Here is a 21,438-nt window from a genome sequence, read left to right as displayed (position 1 = left end):
GGATTTTGCCTTTGCCTTTGTGTGTGCCGTTTTCTATGCACTGTGCTGGGTAAGAGAACAAACTTTTACATCAGTTTTATTCTATAAAATATTTTCAATTATATCTTTGCTAACACCTCCTCCACATTTATTCTCTCTTTCTGTAAATACTATTAGATATTGGACATTACATTTTGACCCTCTGATTTTCTTCTTTGTTTTTGATTGCCCACTTTTTTAATTTTTATTCAACTTGCTAGGAGATTTCTCAGATTTTATCTCCCATCTTTCTAGATTTTTTAACAAATTTCTCTATCACATTTCCAAAAGTTATTTCTCATTGTTTGCCAGGTTTTTTTTTAAAGATCATGTTCCCAGCCGGGCAGAGTGGCTTGCAGCTATATTCCCAGACACGCAGGAGGCTGAAGCAGGAGGATCCCTTGAGTCCAGGAGTTTGAGGCTGCAGTGAGCTATGATCATGGCACTGCACTGCAGCCTGGGCGAGAGAGAGACTCCGTTTCTTAATAAATAAATAAATAAATAAATAAATAAATAAATAAATAAATACCATATTATTGTTTTATGGGTTTATATATTATCCTATCTAGCTGAAGATATTATGTTGTTGATGTTTCTTGTGTCTCTTGCATCACCTCTGTTTCTCCATTACCTTTATTTGTATGCTTTCATTGTCATCTTTTGTCTTGGAAGGCTGGTGAAAGTACTGAGTAGCCTTGGTTATTTGTTCACACTTATGACTGAGGCACTACAAATTGGACTGAAGTTCCCAAGTGAAGGAGCTACGCAGGCCAGTAGATGGGCTTTACTGTCTGGTGATCATATGGGTAAAGTATTTTTTTCAATGAGGGGACATTTCTATAATTCCAGTTATCACACATGTTTTTCATGGGGCTGTTCAGTTCTTCCATGGTCAAGGACTCTTATCTCCAGTATAGAGAAAAAAAAAAAGTCTTACCATAAGAGCTCTGGGAACAGGGCCACAAAATAAGGCTAGGGATCCCATAGCCCAGTGTGCAGACAGTCCTTTATTTCCGTATTTAGCCCAGTATCTTCACCTTGCCTTCAGCTTTGGACAATCTTTGGTTCAACTTCTATATGCTAAAGAATAAGCCTGGGATGGAAGTGAAAAAGAACTTGCATATTAGCCTGAACAGGAAAACTGTTCAGCAAACATTGGGGCAGAGGCAGCCTTCCTCCTTTATCTGCTCTCCAATTTCCCACAGTGAGTTCATATTTTTCACTCATACTAAATTCCCTTCTGTTGTCTTTGTCTTTTCAGTTTCCTACTTCTAAAATAAAATAAAAAGTTATTTGATTGCTTTGTCTTTTTTTTTTTTTTTGGACCAAGTCTCTCTCTGTCACCCAGGCTGGAGTGCCCTGGTGCAATCTTGGCTCGCTGCAACGTCTGCCTCCCAGGTTCAAGCCATTACTCTGCCTCAGCCTTCTGAGTAGCTGGGACTACAGGCATGCACCATCACGCCCGACAAATTCTTGTATTTTTAGTAGAGACGGAGTTTCACCATGTTGGCCAGGCTGGTCTCGAACTCCTGACCTCGGCCTCCTGAAGTACTGAGATTACAAGCATGAGCCACCGTGCCTGGCCTGCTTTATGTCATTTTGAAGGAGTTTAAGAAGGGAGAGATAATAAATCTGCACATTCATTCTTCATGTTTAAATGAGAACATACATTTATCACATGTAATTTTTCTGACCAAAAAATAAAAAATCCTGGGGAGCCCTATTAATACTTTAAAATCACTTGTTCCAAGAAAGTAGCACTCCCCTGTGTGCTATTCCACTACAGCATTTCAGTTGACAGTGGCTGTGGGATTTGGCTGGTGGGTATCGGAGCTGGAGGCTCTTGCTGCATCCTGAAACTTGCATTACAGAAACTGACACCAATAAAGGCATGGTATTTTTTTCTTGACTTGTTAGTCCTGTGTGCTTCCTTGTGCATCAAAGTACAAATTGCTAAATATCAGGAGATCTGTGGCAAGTTCCTTCACTGGCATTGTGTTTCTAAATCTTCCAGTGGTGTTTTAGCACTCCTGATATATTACCCCATTATTTCTGCCTGGCCCCTCTCTTGAATGAAGATCTACAAGCAAGACGTGGTGGTGGGGTGCACAGGAAGTAAATGTGGCATTCCTAGACAAGAATACAACCTGGATGGGGGCTTGAGCAAGCATCCAGAAAAACATGGCAGGTTCCTTGAGAGAAGTACACACAGTACCATGAAACGTCAGAGAACAAAGCAGAAGAGTTTATAAGTTAAAAAGTAAATATAATGGGCTTTGATTTCCAGCCCCACTGATCCCTTGCTGTGTCTTCTTGGACAAGTCATTTAACCTTTCTAGGCCAAAATTTCCTTGTCTGTAAAATAGGGAAATACTAGTACCGACTCCATAGTCATTGTGTGAGAATGAGATGAATTAATGTTTGCAAACTACGAAAACTATGCCTTGGCACATACTCAGCACTTGATAGGTATTAGCTGCTAGGAAATATTTTCTAGCTGAAAGATCAAAGACAGTGGCATATGGCTGGTGTTAGGAATTTGAACTGGATTCTTAAGGCTGGAAACTATCCCCCGACCCATCTTTCCACTGCAGATTTAGAACAGGGCATCCGACAGTCAGAGTCCTTATTTCTTAACATCGAGAGGTCAAACTACTTATTACAGTGGAGACATATCTTCAATGACTTTGAATTAGGAGAAATAATGATAATTCAAGGCCTCCTTGCTGGACAAAAGGTAATTAACTGCACAGAGAACCGAATAAGCCCTGAGCTCAGGCCTTTCATTGAATTTGTTTCACATCTCAAGATGTAAGTATTTACAGGTCAAGTGCTCTAAGAAGAATAAAAACATGTCTTTTCTCTGAGAAAAGCTTCTTCACACTGACTCCAACTATTTTCTTAATCCTTAAACCTCTAATTAGAGTTCCAGTCCAAAAGCTAAACATTCAATCTCCCATTTTCTTTATCCCTGGCTTAAAAAAAAAAAAAAAGTAAAATAAAGGTAGTTCAGTAACTAGCCTGTTCTTTGGTCTGTTTTGTAATAACCCTTCTTTGTATTTATGCCACATCTTTCAAGTGAGTTTCTCCAAGCCCTTTACAGACAGGATCTCATTAATGCCCCACCACACGGCTGTGAGACCCTTGACCAACAAGATTATCCCACATTTACAGATGAAGAACCAAGGCACTTTGTGCACTCCTTTTTTCTTTCTATAAACAATGAAGCATCATAAGGGCAAATAATAATTATTCTGATTCTCACAGTACAGCTGTAAGCAACCAGCATTGCTGAAAAAACCAGCAGTTGCTCAATTATTGGAAAATTTCTGAAGAGTCGTTTAAACTGGGAAAGTACAAAGTGAGAAGACCCAGAGGCTGTGAGAACGTAGAGCCACAGAATGCCAGCTCTACAGAGACCCACTCCCCAAGCAACCCTGCCTCCCACACATACATCACAGGTGGCAGGACAGAATCTCAAAAAGAATATGATTAAGAACTCAATTAATGCAATGTATATTCATGCCTATTTATACTAGAAGACTTTTGAAATGCACCAGGAAGAGCTACCCCCTTTCCCCAATATGGCCCCACTGTCATCCTATAACATCTTATGGATTCTATAGGGCATTTCCCCTCTCACTGTATATGTAACTTCTCCTCCTACTAGATTCAAAATACATTAATTAAATCCAAGAATAATCAGAGGTGAACTATGTGCTAAGTTACTCTGCCTCACACTGACGTTACAAAGATGAATTGTATATTAATCTTAACCCCAAGAATCTTTCTGAAGCCAACTACACCATACTTATTTTTCTACCATGAGCACATGGAACAGCATCTAGCACATGGCAGGTATTATAGAATAAATGTTTGTGTCTCCACAAGATTCATATGTTGAAGACTAACTCTAGTGTGGCTGTATTCGGAAAGGAGGCCTCTAACAAAGTAATTCAGGGTAAATGAAGTTATTAGGGTGGGCCTCTCATCCTATAGGATTAGTGTCCTTATAAGAAGAGACACCAGCAAAGCCCCTCTGTCTCTCTCTCCCTTTCTCCTCATTCACGAGGAAAGATCATGTGAGCACACAGGGAAAGGTGGCCAACACAAAGGCAGGGTCCTCAACAGACGCCAACACTGCCAGTACCTTGAACTTGGACTTCCAGTCTCTAGAACTGTTAGAAAATAAATTGTTGTTGTTTATGTCATTCAGTCTGTGGTATTTTGTTTTGGCAGCCCTGGCAAACTGAGACAGTAGGTATTAAACAGATGTTTGTAGAGTTGATTGTATTTTGACATATTTGTTGGCTTTATTTCCATACTAGCTCTTTTCTGAGGGTCTTAGAGGACTGACTTAGAAGCTGCTATTGTCTCTATTTTGATTTTCTTTGATGCTGGCACATGCTGCCCAGCTAGCTCCACAGCCAAAGTTGTTGGGGTTGAGGTGGGGAGTTTCCTTGTGTTTGACTATGTTGCCCCAGGTGTATTGTGCAAGGACTAGCACTGCAGTGAGCAGAAGTCTTTGTTAGTTAGTTCTACACATAACTCTGTTTCTTAGTTATTATAGCTCTCTCTCTATATACACACACACACACCCCTCTCTATTTTAGAGACATCAGGGAAGTTCCCTGAAGGTCTGTGTCAGGGGGCAATTGAGAAAGTCATTCTTAAAAGGTTTCGTTTTCATGCTTGTGTATATTAAAATCTGTTTCCTGTGACTAGAGACAGCCGGTTTTCAAGAGGACACCCTGTACCTTATCTTTCTCCTTCTTCAGGGTAATGTCCCTTCCAGGCCCAAGTGTTCTGCCTCTACGCACTGCACATTTTCATTACAAAGAGGAGTATTTCATACAAAGAGGAGTATTAATTTTTAAGAGTATTTCATACAAAGAGTATTTCATACAAAGAGGAGTATTAATTTTTAACCCCAAATTCCCCAAATTCTAGCCTTCACATTCATGCTCTGATAACCCCAGGATGCAGATCATTCATATTATTACTTTTACCAATAAGGAAATAAAGTGTGTTTTATAGTTTACAATCTACACAGCATAGTTACTTGCATCATCTCATTTGACCTTTGTCAATGAGTTGCAAAGTTGGCTCAGTTGGCTACAATAAAATGTCATAGACTGAGTGAGTGACTCAGACAACACAATTTATTTTCTCAAACTTCTGGAGGCTGGGAAATACAAACACAAGTGCTGGCTGACTCGGTCCCTGTTGAGGGCTCTTTTCCTGGCTTGTGGATGGCCGCCTTCTCAGTGTCCTCACATGGCATTCAAAGAGAGAGCAGGAGACAGAGTTCTCTAGTGTCTCCTGCTTTAAGGACACTAATCCTGTCGGATTAGGGCTCCGATCTTATAATTTCATTTAACCTAATTACCCTGTTACTCCAAATACAGCTACACTGAGGGTCATGGATTTTGGGAAGGGGGTGGTTCACAACTCAGTTCATAGCAATCTTCTTGGGACTTAGGAGCATATCAGAAAATAAAGCATAAACAACAACAAAGAGAAGAGAAACAAGAAAGATTAACCAGATCCAGTGCTACTAAGCATGCCACTGTTTCTCCAGTCAGGCCCACCCTTACCACCCAAGTCTAACCCTGTGATAATGGAAGTGCCCTCTGTCCTGCCCTTATCATCCATTGACCTTCCCTAGGAGAAAGTGACCAGGAGGACTCTTTATCGCCCTCTAGAGGTCACAGTGTCTCATAACCTCATTACTGTGAAATGGATGATGAAAGTACAAGAGATTGTTGGAAAGCACAGAAATGTAGGGAATGAAACAACTAAAACAAAGTCTGGGAGATAGCAAAAGACTACTGGGAATTTTAAATTCAAAATCAGCAAAGTGTTACTTGACACAAGCCCAGAGACTGAAGTGGTCAGGGCTTAGTTATGCTGTCAAAATAATCCTTCCAAGGCTTGCTTTTCCCCTTCTGTTTATCAGGATTCTTGCTGCTCTGAGGAAATCAAGCATATGCTGGTGTCAGGGAGGGGCTATGTGGAGGCAGCATTACACTTTGAAGGGCTTCCATAAGATAGCAGGAATGGCAGGGGATGTTCTAAGGTCAACCCAGCCCTGGCTAGCCACTGCCGAGTTTTGTGTTTTGAAAATGCTCCCTCCCTGGCTTCCTTCTTATTCTTGCCTCCCTTGAGTTAGTGTGCTCAAAATATAAAATGTCGCAGTTCATCATTATTCCTTCCAAGGTGTGTGCAATCACAAATGCAGACAGTGCATCTTTTGAATGCATATGCTTAAAAAAAGATTGATAAAAAGGAAATCCTGAAGCAAAGTCAGACAAACCATTTGGTGCTGGAGGGCAGCTGCACAGCCTCCCCAGAAGGTGATCTGGGAACCATATTTGGATTGTGTACCCAAAGGATTTCACCATAGATGGATAGCCCTAGAGTTAGTGCATATTCTAAATTTGACTTTGCATTTCTATCAACAAAGAAGATGATGGAAGAATAGAAACAGAAATTGATCATAACACATATATAGATTTCAACTGCAATGTGAATAAAATGGAGAAAATGAGGAACAATCAAAAATAATCTTTATTTTCGTGAAAAAATATAATGTCTGCTGGAGAACACTAATTTATCTTTCATGACCAACTCAAGCATCACCCTCTCTAGGAAGCCTTTTCTGACCTTCTCTCCCAGAGAGAATTGATCATCTTTAACTCATTCTACCTAGAACAGACTTCTACCTAGCATCGATGACATTCGTTTTTTTAACTATGTTTCTGTCCCATAACTAGACTTCTTTTTTTTTTTTTTTGAAGGAGTCTTGCTCTGTCGCCCAGCCTGGAGTGCAGTGGCGTGATCTCGGCTCACTGCAAGCTCCACCTCCCGGGTTCACATCATTCTCCTGCCTCAGCCTCCCGAGTAGCTGGGACTAAAGGCACCCGCCACCATGCCTGGCTAATTTTTTGTAGAGATGAGTTTTCACCGTGTTAGCCAGGATGATCTCGATCTCCTGACCTCGTGATCTGCCAGCCTCGGCCTCCCAAAGTGCTGGGATTACAGGTGTGAGCCACCGCGCCTGGCCAGTTAGATTTCTTAAAGCCAGGGAAGGATCCTTTCTATCTGTCTTTGTCTCTTCAGTACATGAGCTAGTATCTGCCACATGGTAAGTGCCCCATGAATATTTTCTGAGTTGCAAATTTGAAAGAGAAATCCCCACTACTGTGGAGAAGGCAAAGCCATCACTAAATAAAATTCTGTGAAAGTCCTGTGTATCTTGAGAATGAGCTCATCTCCCTTTCTGTACCCTTTTCCTGTCTTCAAGACCCTTTCTCCTCCAACCGTCCAGACTCAGAGAAGTTGTCTGTGGCCACAGCCCTAGGTTATAGAACTAAAACTGCCTTCTCTTTCCTAACAACTCTGTGACCTCAAAATGTCTCTCTTTCTGCCTCTGTTCTTCCATTCCAGAAATTAAACTAATTTCTTTTTGTTTAGGAAGAAGTACCTGTTTTCCTTTGAAAAGATAGCAGCAGTTTAACCAGAATGATTCTCTAGTTGGAGAAATTTCAAGAATAATGATAAAGGGCACAGAAGAATTCCAACCCTGGAAAATCAAACCCCTGCCAGGGAGAGACTTATAACCATGACTTTGAATCACGTTGATCTTCTTTCCTCTGGCCCGTTCAACTATATTAAATAAATTTGCAAGCTGAGAATTGTGTGCAGTGTTTATGCAACTCATCCACCTTACTCCACCTGCTGACTTCTTAACCCAGAGTGCTAAAATTAGAGCCATTGTGCACAACCTGGAGGCGGATACTTGATTTTATTTGGAGAAAGCAAAATGGGCTCCCTGTAAGAGTGGCCCTCTTATAATTTCCACCAGATTCCCAAGGCTATCTTCAGTCACAAAGGTTAAGACAGCTAGACTAACAGAAGACTCTCAGTTCTTCTCAGGGAGGTTTGAATCAATCTTATCATAAAAACTCTCACAGATAATAAATAACCTCCCCCTTTAAACCCTGTGGTTTTCTGATCTTTTTGCAACCTCTAATAAACCTTAACTCCCACTAGTATTTTCACAGGTATTTTTTTTTCACGACAGTGTATCAAAGTCACATTAAAATATTCCCAGTTCTTTATAATGCAATTCTCACCCCCCATGATTCTCTGGTAATTAGGTCAATGGCCTAATAGAACAAACATACTGGGAACAAGCTGTAAGAATATCGATTCTTTATTCCTCAAAGCAGCATTTCAAAGTCTGCAAATGAAGCCTTAACAGAAAGAAATATTAATGTAAGACTACACAAGAAGGGAATAAAGAATCACAAAATCTAAGACTTGGGAAGAAACTCAGAGGTTATTATTTTTTCCTCTCATCTACTCCTGTGATAGTTATTATGGTTTCTCCAACAAATAGTCATGCATTATTATTTGAGGACCTCCAATGGCAAAGAATTCACTACCACTCAAGGTACTTTATTCCACTGTTATAATCCCTGAATTTTTAGAAGATTCATTTTAAAATTTAGTCAAAGTCTCCCTTCTAGTTAGATTGCTGTAGAAATGTGGGAAACATGACTGCTTCCTCTATCTAGATTGCCTTTCAAAAAGTTGAAGGCAGATTTTTTAGTCTCTCATTCCTTATCTCCTTTAGACAGCACTTAGTCCTGCATTTCTTTTCTTATCTTCACAGTTCCTGATACTGTGCAGTTTGACTAGTAATTACCCACAGAGTTAATAAAAAATGAATGATTGAGCACATATCTTAGTTGTATCTCTGCAGTATAAGGAGATGGCAAGAGATGTCCAGGATTCTAAATCAGGGTATCTTTCCCACTACCTACTGCTATGGGTTCCCTGGAGCAAGGTGTGGTGGGGGTGTTCCAAGCTGGAGTGGGGAAGGCGGACACTCTATTAACAACAATGTCCTGGACATCCATCTCCCATGAGTTAGCCTGAGCTAACTAAAATATATAAAATATATAAAACCAAGCTGTACCTTGACCACCTTGGGCGCATGTTCTCAGGACCTCCTGAGGACTGTGTCACAGGCCATGGTCACTCATATTTGGCTCAGGACTCATACCTGAACTTTCACACATGCCCTGAGACCTAAACTTAAACAATCATACAAACAAGGCACAAGTACCTTCTTGATTCCTGCATGTAGCCAGGACTTTAAAACATGCAGATGCCTATGGGATCAGGCAGCTTTTAATAGAGTAAGACCTCAGGATGTAAAAAGATAGGGGCAGGGTAGAATTCAAGAATGCTTTCTCAATGAAATAGATTCACATTATTTAAAACATTGTGCATTTTAAAAACACTCTTAGTTTAGCCCTTGTGGTTAAGAATACAGAATATGCCACCAGACTGAGGAAGGGAGGGTGAATCCAGCTCTGCTTCTTACTTGCTGTGAGATTTTGAAGTGCCTCAGTTTCTACAATAAATCAATCAAACAGGGTTGTGATGAGAAGTAAATGTTGTGTGGATTAATTAAAATAGTGCTCAGTATAGAGTTATATATATTTGTGTGTGTGTGTGTGTATATGTGTGTGCAATTTGATACAATTATATTCATTATGCACTGTCTGTCTTCATGGCAGCTGTATTTCCCTAGGCATGGCCTGACAGGTACAATTGTGCCTATGGAACTATACCCAAAAGATGCTTTGGAAAAAATCTCGCATTGGTTGTAACCAACCATCTTACTATGGTCCAATGACATCATTAGAGGATGATATTGTTTAGAACGGAGGCTGCTGGCTGACTATTGGGAAACCTGCATTCTGGTCCCCACTGTGCCATAGATTACCTCGTTGGCACGCCCACCTACTGAACTTCTCCATGCCTCAGTGTCCTCAGTCAGCTTTATCACCCTCACAAAGCCCTGATGGGCAGAGTCTAAGACCTGCTATGTTGATAGAATGGTCCTAATCATAATCACATAAAGGGCTATTGATAAACAGATCTAATTACCCATAGTGTTTCCCCCTCTCTCTTGTGGATTCTTCAAGTCCAGATGGGCTTAGAATGAGCCATTGTCATCCTAGTCTCTATTTCTGTCTATTTTCCTTCCCTTCTATTTTTATCTTAGAAAGAAGGACACCTGTTAACATCATGTGGTCCATCATCATTATTTCACTTCATGCCTGATTCAGCATTTGATCATTTCTTTACACCCATTCATCATTCATGGTTTTTGATGCTGTAAATAGCTGGAAAGCAAGATGAATCAAAGAGGAATAAACCAAAGAAAAAATAAAGCAAGATAATAATTTAGAGTTTCCTCATAAGGCCTGGAGAGGACTCTGTGTATGGGGCACACTCCAGGCTTCCTTTCTGCTAGGTTCCACCACTGTCCGTGCAGAAACTCAGTGGCATGGCTTGGGCAGAATCTGCCAAGGCCCAGCCCCATCTTATGATACCAGCAGATGACAAAGGGAAGAAAGTTGTATTCTTGATCACAGGACAGTGTTTTTTATATCATACTGTTGTATGTTCTACCCCATAAGTTTTTGATCTAATAGTGTTCCTGCCATGACTATATCAAGAATAGTCATCCTTGCAGGGTGGAATTAAGCAGTATCAGAAGAAAATTTTAACTCGCAGTAGCCATCCTAAGTGGTGTCGTTCACCATTCCTTGCATGAAGTGTATTCCACCTTGCTTATCACTCTCAACTTCTCGTATTACATTTTGTCCAAATGCTTTCCAAAAATCTGATTCTCACCTACTGCTTAAATTAATAATGGGCAATTTAGGCACTAGAACCTATTAGATACCATGCAAATTGAAAAATGATCCCTTCCTCAGATACTATGATATTGACCTTATCACTAGTCTTGAAGCTTAAATAATAAATAAAATTTAAAAAATAATCCTTTTATTTAGCATTAGGAAAATATTGCCCTGTATTTTTGTGAATTTTGTATCAAGTAGGAGTAATTATAAAAATAAAGGAAGTGATAGCATTTTGATTTGTGAAACAATAGTACTATAGTTTTGTCAAATAAAATGCCCCAAATCTTTCTGTTTCAAAATAGCAAATGCCACAATTTGTCATTATCTTTAAAAAAAAAGCCTGAAAAAAAGAAATTTGATTCCCAGAAGCAAGCCACCTATTCCCCAAGGTTATGACTCATATACTAACTACTTCTCTCTAAGACCTGGACAATTGCCTTCTATTAATACAGCCTGCATGTATGCTCATTGTTTTAACAGCCCTCAGTAAAGAAGACTGAAGCAAAGATGACAAAATACATGTGGCAAGTGTCCTTCTGAAATTCGGATATGCTTATGATGTTCTCCTTTGCACTTAATGGATTCCAGCACAGAATAAATAATAAAGAATTACTGCTATTCAGTTGAGGCAAATTAAAGTCAATGCATTTGAGACTTCAGCAGTGAATTGACACTGGCCCTGAATACCAATTGCATCTCATAAAGGTAAAGAATAATCAAGGATTTGGCTGGAAGTCTGGAAATAAGCTTCCCAGATGGGACCAACTTGAGGTTGAAATTATGCAGAGTTCTGGAGGGCATGCACCGTCCCTCCAGCCCAGGCTGAGACTCCGCTGGGTATCATGCCATCACACTCACCATTCTTGCAGAGCAGAACAACCACGAAGTCCTGAGAAGAAGAATTGATAAAGAGCAAAAGACTGGGTGCCTGGGTTGTCACAAAGCTAAGTGCAATGTTTTCCTTGGATGGAGCTGAATCTGTGTAAATAGCTGAGGATGAGAGGCTTATATTCTTGGTCACAGGATAGGGTTCTTGAAACATGTAAGTAACCGACGTGCCAGCCTCAAAAACAGCAGAAACCTCTGCAAAATATAAGAGGGGAGAGCACACATTGAAACCTTTAGATCCATTGTTCAAGCTAACCTTAGCTGCTTTCTCGTTTCCTATGCACTGGGCACTGTGTGAGGAGTAATACATGCATCAGACAACATGTTCCCCACAATAATTTTGAAGTGGCAGAAGTCACTATTCTTAATTTACAAATGAAAAACTTAATGCTCTCATAGGTTACAAACCTTGAACAGGGTTGCATAGCCAGAAAAGAAAGCTCAGGTTTTCCTCCTGTGGTTTAAGTCCAGCTCTACATACATCTGCAAAATAATGACCACTTGCCTGGCTAATTTCCTGAGAAGCAAAGATAACATGTCTCTGCCTCCAGCATAGTGCATAGAGAAATACACTGGCACCATCTTACTCCCAAAACTGAGAACCTGACAGTTCTAGTTTGTGTTCTTCTCTGGTATCTCAGGGAGATTGTGGATGGTCTCTAAATACAGAGCAAGACATTGGGGTGAGCAGCAGTAATTCTCTATGATGTTGGTAAATCATGAAGAACAACGAAAACAGCAAATAAGAAATTTATGGACAAAGTAGAAAAGACATAGGTCTCCAACTCTTAAACTCATTTTTTTAGCTGTGTAGGCATTGGTACTCAGTTCCAAAATATAGCCAAGACTTGGGTAAATAGGCTTTCCTATGGGAAACAATCCCTCTAGCATAACACACTGAATGGAGATCTGCCACCACCAGGAAGAAATACGGGATCTAAAAACTGATAAAATTCATTTAGTGGGATATGTAAATCACCCAGCCTCCTTGAAGAATGCTCTAGCACACCAACTGTTACCATGTTAGTGTAGTGGAACTAGCACTGAGTGACTCAGCACTGGATCTGAGTCTCACTTGGTTTCATGCCGGCCATGTGGTCCCAGGCAAGATAATGAACTTTGTGGAGAATGTTTTCTTATCTGATGAATGGGAATCATAACACCTACCTCATCAGTATTTCTCTGATGTATATGATCTGATGTATGTAAAGCACTTAAGAGAGTTGCCAAGTACAGTTTGAACTTACAGAGTGTTAGAAGAGAAATTAACCTGAATCCATCCCAATAGACTTTATACAATATATTCATTTATTAAATGTTCATCTGTCCAAATGCTGAGATACTCTCCTTAGATCAAGGCTGCTCTTGAGTTCACTTTAAATTTTATCTCTATACAGTAACAGAGTGTGTGGGGAAGGCTCTTTCATAGGGCAGCACACCTTAGATCAGGCAGCAAACCTCTGCCATAAAAACTGCACAGTAAACATAAACCCATATTGGCATGATTAATTTCCCTTTGCCCTAAATGGCATATGGAATGTTCCAAATTCCCCATGAAAGTCTCTGATTGAGTTAGTGGCACCTACAATATAATAATACCTGGCTTTTTCTTCCTAATTCTATTGCAAATGTGTTCCACCTTGTGAAAATTCTGTAACAGTCTGTAATAGTGCCAAAAAATTAAAGTTGCATATTTATGCATATTGCCTAGCAGATTGAGAATACTAGTTCATTTTTACTAAAGGTTCAGAGAAAGTGTTTTGCATTTATCATGCAGGTTACAACCTTGGTACTCCTGTTTATAAAAATATGCAGCAGACATCTGTGACAGTGAGAATTCTGGTTATCATCAGCTTGATTCAAGAATTTTCCTTGAGTAAATTTACTCAGGGATATTTGGTCTGCATTTTGAGCTACTGCCTCCTAGTTAACAAAATAAAGGACTTTTATTTGATATTTGTGTGTGTGCTTAAATGGAAGTAAAATTCAGAGCATTCTGTTAGGAATAACATAGATATGGGCATATACAGGATATTACTTTTTTCTTTATACTTAAGACAATAAATTGAAAATGAAAAGCATTTTGTAATTAGAAATGTCAAACCAAATTTCTGTTGTCACTCTTCCTCCAGCCCCAGTTCTAGTTATTTTTAATATTTAAATATTGTCTGTTTTATCATAAAGCTAAATTCAGCAATACAGCTGGACTCTATTATTCTTTCAGTTTCTTGTACTTTATAATCTAAGAGTTTAAGCTTTTGATCAGATGGGTTGAGTTATCTGAGCATCTAAAACCACTGGCCAAAAAGGATAAAGATATTTAACTTGCAAGTGATTTCTAGTGACCATGATGATTCTCCAAGGCCACCGAGCCACTATCAACAACACCCCTTGAGCATCCACTTGGTGGAAGAACCTATGCTAACTAGATTCTGAGATGGTAAGACACATATTTTAAAAAAAACAAACACCTGGGCCAGGCACAGTGGCTCACACCTGTAATCCCAACACATTGGGAGGCCGAGGTAGGTGGATCACCCGAGGTCAGGAGTTCGGGCCAGCCTGACCAACATGGCAAAACCCCATTTCTACTAAAAATACAAAAATTAGCTGGGTGTGTTGGCAGGTGCTTGTAATACCAGCTACTGGGGAGGCCAAGACAGGAGAATCACTTGAACCCAGGAGGCGTGAGTTGCAGTGAGCTGAGATTGCGCCATTGCACTCCAGCCTGGGTGACAGAGTGAGACTCTGTCAAACAAAACAAAACAAAACAACAAACAAAAACAAAACAAAACAAATTGCCAGTGGACCAATGGAAGTTAACCTTGGGCTTGATGTGTTAGCGACAGAGACAATATTTTCCAGAGCTGGATGTCTCTGAGAGCAGAGCCTCCTGAGACCTGCAAGAGGATCTCCGTATTGACAGGGCATTGATGGGTGACATGAAGTAGGAGAAGGAGCTGGAAATGGGATGGTACTGGAAGGTGCGTCTCTGAGCCTCCATGGGGCCTGTAGACTTGGAGATAAAACCTGAATCTACACATGTCCTGCAATCACAGGATCCCATTCAATCTCACATTACTCAAATATAAATCAGGATGAATTCAGTCTTGGGATGGGTGAAAGGATTGGAAGAAAGTACGTAAAAGCACAGCACATAGTAGGAACTCAATGAACAGTAGCTGGTTTTAATAATAGTAGTAGAATTAGATTTGGAATTAGAACAAACAGAAAGACCAGTCCTGGGTAATGAATAGTCTAGAAATTATCCAGAAATCATCCAAGCTGTAATTAATTTAGATAAAATCAAACAAATTAAATAAAAATAAAACAACTGGAAATTTGAACACTGAGCAATTATTTCAAAAATTATTATACTTTTATTATAATAATGATCCTGTGGCTACGTGTTTATCATGAGTGCTTATCTTTTAGCAATATACGATGTAATATTTGTAGATGAAATAGTATTATATCTGAGATTTTCTTCAAAATAATAAAGGAGGAGGATAGGAGGTGAGTGTACCGATGAAATAAAAATGATCATGAGTTTGTAACTGTTGAAGTTAGATAACCGGTGAATGGGAGTTCTTAAACTCTTCCCTGTCCTACAGCATATGTTTGCCATTTTTCCATAATAAAAAGTAAAAATAAATGGTATAAATTAAAATGAATATAAGTATTAAATGATTTCTGGACAGGTTTTTGGCAATATGTAAAGAGCACCCAAATGTACATACTTTTATTTTTTTCACTGAAATTCTGTTATTAAGAAAATAATCAATATATGTGTTTATTGTAGCATTATTTACACCAAAATTTTAGATAATGAAAAATTTCAATCAATAAGAAGAGTCAGCATTTAGTGAGACTTTACATGCTGTGGGCTGTCCCATGTTCTTTGTAGAGTGCTCATCGAATGTTAAACACGACTCCCTGTGAAAGAGTCCTGCGCTTCCCACATCTCGTAGATGAGGAAACCACGGAATCTTGAGGTTGAGGTACACAACCAGTGTCATACAACGTGGACTGTAGATGAACCAGAACCTCAACTTGAGCAGGGGTGGTGCCAGAGCTCCACGATTTATCTGTGAGCAGTAATGCTCTGGTAATAGGATGGATTAAACAAGAGAAGGTAGTAGCACCAGATGGAACATATTGCAATCATTAAGATGGATGCTTACAAATATTGGTGACTTACATAGAAATGCTTTTGAAAGGAAATAAAGAAAATCCAGAATATAAAATGTAATGGGCAAAATTATCTTAGTTATATTAAGTGCAAGGGGATAAAAAACTAGAAGGAAGTGCAATTCCCTATTAATGATTATTTTTGAGTACTTAGATTGGGTTTTAACTTTTCTAGATTTCTAAATAAATTTTCAAATAAATTTTATAAATAATTATGTTACATTTTAATTAAGAAGAAAAAACATTTAAATTAAAACACTATGACAGTGGTACCCAAGTTCTTTATTAATGGTGTGTGTGTAGGGGGGATAAGAGAGCTAACAACAAACACACATCAACAAATGGTGTTGAGACAAGGATATATCCACATGCCAAAGACTAAAGCTGGACCCCCTACCTCACAACAAATATGAAAATTCACTCATAATGCATCAAAGACCTAACTGTGAGAGCTAAAACTATAAAACTCTTAGGAGAAACCATGATCTTGGATTAAGTAAGGCTTCCTTATCTATGATCCTAAATGTATAAATAAAAAAGATAGGAGACTAGAGAAAATGAACTTGATCAGAATTTAAAATTTAGTGTTTCAAAAGATACTATGAAGAAGACAAAATACAGCCCATAGAACTGGAGAAAACATTTGCAAATCATATATCTCATAAGGGAATTATATTCCAAACATACGACAAATTATTACAACTGACTAGTAAAAAGAAGAAAAATTTAAAATCTACAAAAGATGTTAGACATTTCTCCAAAAAATTTATGTATACAAATGGACAATAAGCACAGGAAAAAGATATCCAATATCATTAGTCATTAGGGAATGCAAGTCAAAACCACAATGCGATAGCATTTCATATTCAGTAAGATGTCTATCATCAAAAAATCAGACAATAAAAAGTGTTGGCAAGAAGATGAAGAAATTGGATCCCTCATTCACTGCCGGTGAGAATGTAAAATGGAACAGCCGATTTGAAAAAGTTAGGAAGTTCCTCAAAAAGATTAAACCTATAGTTACCGTTTGACACAACAATCTCACTTCTAGGTATATATCCAAGAGGATAGACAACATATGTTTGCACAAAAATTGTACATATTTATAGCAGTGTTATGTATAATAGCCAAAGAAATGAAACCATCCCAACATCCATTAACTGACCAATGGATGAATGGATAAACAAACTGTGGTGCTTTCACACTGCGCAACACTCTTTGGCAATTAAAAAGGAATAAAGTAATGATGAATGTTATAACATGGATGAACTGGGACAATATTATGCGAAGTAAAAGAAATCAGACACAAAAAGATCACATACTATATGGTTCTATTTATATGAAAGGCTCAGGATGGGCAAATCTACAGAAAAAGAAAGTAGATTAGTGGTTTCCAGGGACACGGGAAGAGGTAACTGGGAAGTGGCTGCTAATGACATGGAATTTCTTTTTGAGATGATGAAAATATTCTGAAACTGATGGTGGTGATTGTTATACAACTGTGTGAATATCCTAAACATCACTGAATTATACACCTTAAAAGGGTGGGTTTTATGGTATATAAATTACATCTCGATAATAGAAAGAGAGAGAAAAAATACACAAAACAAAAGCTCTGTATTTGAAACGATGGAATCCTATTACCATGTTCATGTATAGAATGAAATTAGGGTCATAAAGAAAAAATGAACCAAAAACAAGCTAGATGGACCTCCAAATCTGACATTTAGCAAGTCAGTCCACCTTTATGAGCCCCAATAAGTTAAATTTAGATTTTAATACCTGCTCTATTTGTTTGGATGAGGAATATATGTTGCAGTTAATTACTAGTTTATTTTTTATGATGATTGCTTCTTCGTATCATTATGAGAAACGGAAAAATCGCCAATGAAACACAGTTCTGACCTAGGAATTGGTAATGAAAAAAAGACCCTAATTCTATCCAAGATATATTCAGTATTTACACACCATCTCCTTGAAATATACTGCGCCATAGTAAATAGCATGGAAGGCTGCCCCAATCACCAAACAGACCACCCTCTGTTCAGAACCATCTTGTAGCCACTGGCTTCCCATTTCAGTTCCGGCCACATTCCCCAGAGGCAGTTGGCAGGGCTCAAAGATGTGACTAAAAAGGCCATCTTACTTACATTGCGAGGACTAAATATAGAGGAAATAATTTTCTTAGAATTATCAGAAAGAATGAACAGTTTGGAAATAGTAAAATACGAAGCATATGAAAAGGCTAGGCACACACTTGCCTATGTAACTTGCAGATCATAATTAAAAGTGGGAGGGAGCACAGAGATGTTGCAACATATGCAGGGAAAAGATACAGGGCCGTGGACAGAAGAAAATTAGTATGAATGGTTTTGGAGAAAGGAGCCAAAAAAAAAAAAAAAAAAAGAAATTAGGCTACATTTAGAACAATATGATCTACGAGATCTTTGAATAATGTCCCCAGAGAAATGCAGAGAGGTCTACTGTCCATGTTCTTCCAAACAAAAGACTTGGTTAGAGATGCTGAGAAGAATGCTTGTGCATTTCAGTGCCAGGGTCTCATAGTATTTATTCTGTTCGTGCTCCTCCTAGCATGTGGGATGGCTCAAAGGGAAGCATTCACACTTCTCAGGGGAAGTTGTTCAGAGACCTCCGCCAGTGTGAATACCTAGCAGCACTTTACTTGTTTAGCTCATAATATGAGCCCCTGGAATGGAAACTGTTTTATTTTAAGCTTCCATGCGGTTAGCCCGAAAATTTTTACCATTAATTTTCTCCCAAGAAGCATGACATGCTCTTCAGGAATAATAAGTAAGTAATTCAAACTAATTCAGGAGAAGGCCCCTGTATGAATGAACGGAGGGCTCAAACTATAGTATCCTTCAAATAAAACAGTGAGTGCTTTTTTTCCCTTTTGTTTCTAAGTTCCAACAGTAGCAAGCTGGACTAAATAAACCATTGCTTTGTAAAGGTGCTTCGAAGATATGCTTTAATGAATTGAGAAGAATTATTTATCATTGCTCTGATTGTTTGTTTGCAAATGGTGTCTCAAAGTGATTCAAGCATTTTATTTTAATAATTTAAATGCTGCTCTTAAAATATTGTTTACATTATTTACTGAACAAACTTTTTCCGTCTTTAAAATATTGCAAAAATTATGAGTACACCAAATCTTTTTCCTTATGTTTGAAAAATCCTACGTATTTATACTGAATATTGAGATTTTCTAGTTTCTTGAGGTATCTTGAATTTATCTAGAGAATTTAAGCAATGATCCTCATTCCTTGTCCAAGGTGTATATCCGTGATTATTAATTTGTGTCAATGTAATGAACTCAGGAGATTGTGAAGGGGTATAGGAAAAGTCCTGGAGCAGAAAATTTGACTTTCATGTGTGTTTCAGTCCCAGCCCACCAATGAACTAAATATGAACTTTCAGACAGGGCTTTTAAAGCCTCAGACATTCGCTCAAGTCACCTGCGGAATAGAGAGATTTCACCAAATACACGGTACTGTGTTTACTAATTTACTGATATTCTCTTTGTTGTAAAAAATAATTTAAGATGGCTTAAGTATCTCTAAGGCTCCCCCAGGGCTAGATTCTACAATTCTTTGATTACATTTGCGGGCTGAGGGATTGGAAGTGGAAATATTAATGTGTTCACTAACAATCTAGCTAACAACAGAAATGTGGGTCCACCTCTTTCTCTACTTAACTGACTTTTTGGCCGTGGGCAGGGTGTTTTCCTGTAATTATCCATCCAGTTCAGTTACATTGCCAGTGAACACATGTAATACCAATAAGTATATGCAATTACGTTGAAGAACTATGCAGACTCTCTAAACAGCGGGAGAGTAGATGATAAAGACTGTCTCAGAGTGTGAGTATCACATGGCCTGACCATAGCGTATAGGTGATACAGCACTGCACTCAGGAGAAACAGGAGCGCCTAAGGTACCTTTTTTGCAAAAGGGCCCTTCATAAGGTGAATTGGTGCAATCACACAGGTAGCCATTGTGCTTCTCCACACACTTGCCCCCGTTGTGGCAGATGCTGCCGTAGCTGCTGCAGTGGCCGGGGCAGCCTGGCCTGACTCCAGATGTGACCTTTGCCCTCTCTTCCAGGTCCATTTTCTGTCCATTCAAGTGTAAGGAGCGAATGCATCCTAGGAAGCCTTTCTGTCTGGATGACGTTCCCCCTAAGAGGTTAAATAAAAGGAAACAAATGTAAGGTATTATAGGGCTCAATACATTTAGGTTTAATGTTGGCATGGGTAAGAGTTAAGTAGTTCTCTGTTGTCATGAAGGTCTAAATTAATTTTTTTATTAAAGTTTCAGTGAGAGTTGGAATTCCAAAGAGCCTCAAATAAATGCATGTCCTAGAAACAATGGTGGAGCTAGAGGCCACTATCTTTAGCAAACTAAGGCAGGAACAGAAAACCAAATACCCCATATTCTCATTTATAAGTGGGAGGTAAATGATGAGAACACTTGGACGCAAAGAGGGGAGCAACAGACACTGGGTCCTACTTGAGGGTGTCGGGTGGGAAGAGGGAGAAGATAAGAGAAAAATAACTATTGGGTACTAAGCTTAGTACCTGGGTGACAAAATAATCTATACGACAAATCCATGTTATACAAGTTTACCCACATAATAAACCTGCAAATCTAGCCCTGAACCTAAAATAAAAGTTAGTTAAGAAAAAAATACATGTCCTTCTAGGCTGGGAACCCCCTCCCTCAAGCTCTTTCCGTATACATACAAAAAAAGTGAAAGATTGTAGTTCCTGTATTTTACAAGTTTAAGAGTAAAACTTCAGATGGCCATGTTTCTTGTGAAAAAAAAAGTTCTCACACAGTCCACAGCACACTTTCATCTGAAGTGGAAGGCACAGAGTGGGACTGTCCTTTCTGGCAAAGTTAGACAGAAGCTGTTAGGTACACCAACTTAGAAAACTTCAGTAGACTTCCTAATGCTTGCACAGTGCAGTGCAGTGGAGTGGAAGGTGGATAGACCAGAGCCAGATAGACATGGAGTCAAACGCATGTCACTTGCTGATTAGCCATATTGACCATGGAATTACCTAAGCCTCAGCTACTTCATCTATAAAATAAAAATCAATCTATTGTGTGGGTGTGTGGTGAGGCTTCACTAAGATCATACAATAGGCCAGGCATGGTGGTACATGCCTGTAATCCTAGCATTTTGGGAGGCCAAGACGGGCTGATCATTTGAGGTCAGGAGTTCAAGACCCGCCTGGCCAACATGGTGAAACTCCATTTCTACTAAAAATACAAAAATTAGTCAGGTATGGTGGTAGGCATCTATAATTCCAGCTACTCGGGAGGCTGAGGCAGGAGAATTGCTTGAACCCAGGAGGCTGAGGCAGAAAAATAGCTTGAACCGGGGAGGCGGAGGCTACAGTGAGCCGAGATCATGCCATTGCATTCCAGCCTGGGCCACAGGGCGAGACTCTGTCTCAAAAAAAAAAAAAAAGAAAGAAAGAAAGAAAAAGAAAGAAAAAAAATAACATAGAATACAATACCTGTTCAATCACTGCTGCTCTCTTATGCCTTCTTTTGCACCTTCACAATGGCTAGAACCAGTTACT

The 21,438-nt window shown here is 39.1% G+C and overlaps 1 protein-coding gene across 3 annotated transcripts in view; it reads right to left on the bottom strand.

Moving 5' to 3' along the window:
• Positions 1-21,438, bottom strand: part of CNTNAP5 (contactin associated protein family member 5) — an 895,933-nt gene that overhangs the window by 111,293 nt on the left and 763,202 nt on the right. For 2 of the 3 annotated variants that reach the window (NM_001367498.1, NM_130773.4), the window contains exons 18-19: positions 19,786-20,025; positions 11,607-11,831 (exon numbers count right to left, since the gene is read on the bottom strand). In NM_001367498.1, coding sequence (NP_001354427.1) covers positions 11,607-11,831; positions 19,786-20,025 — 465 coding nt within the window. The remainder of the gene's footprint in view (positions 1-11,606; positions 11,832-19,785; positions 20,026-21,438) is intronic. The other variant, XM_017003316.2, reaches the window with a different exon arrangement.

Source organism: Homo sapiens, chromosome 2, assembly GCF_000001405.40.
Source record: "Homo sapiens chromosome 2, GRCh38.p14 Primary Assembly".
In the NCBI taxonomy this organism is placed as follows: Eukaryota; Metazoa; Chordata; class Mammalia; order Primates; family Hominidae; genus Homo; species Homo sapiens.
Note: the sequence above shows the minus strand (reverse complement) of the source record. Positions and strands in the feature narration are given on the sequence as shown.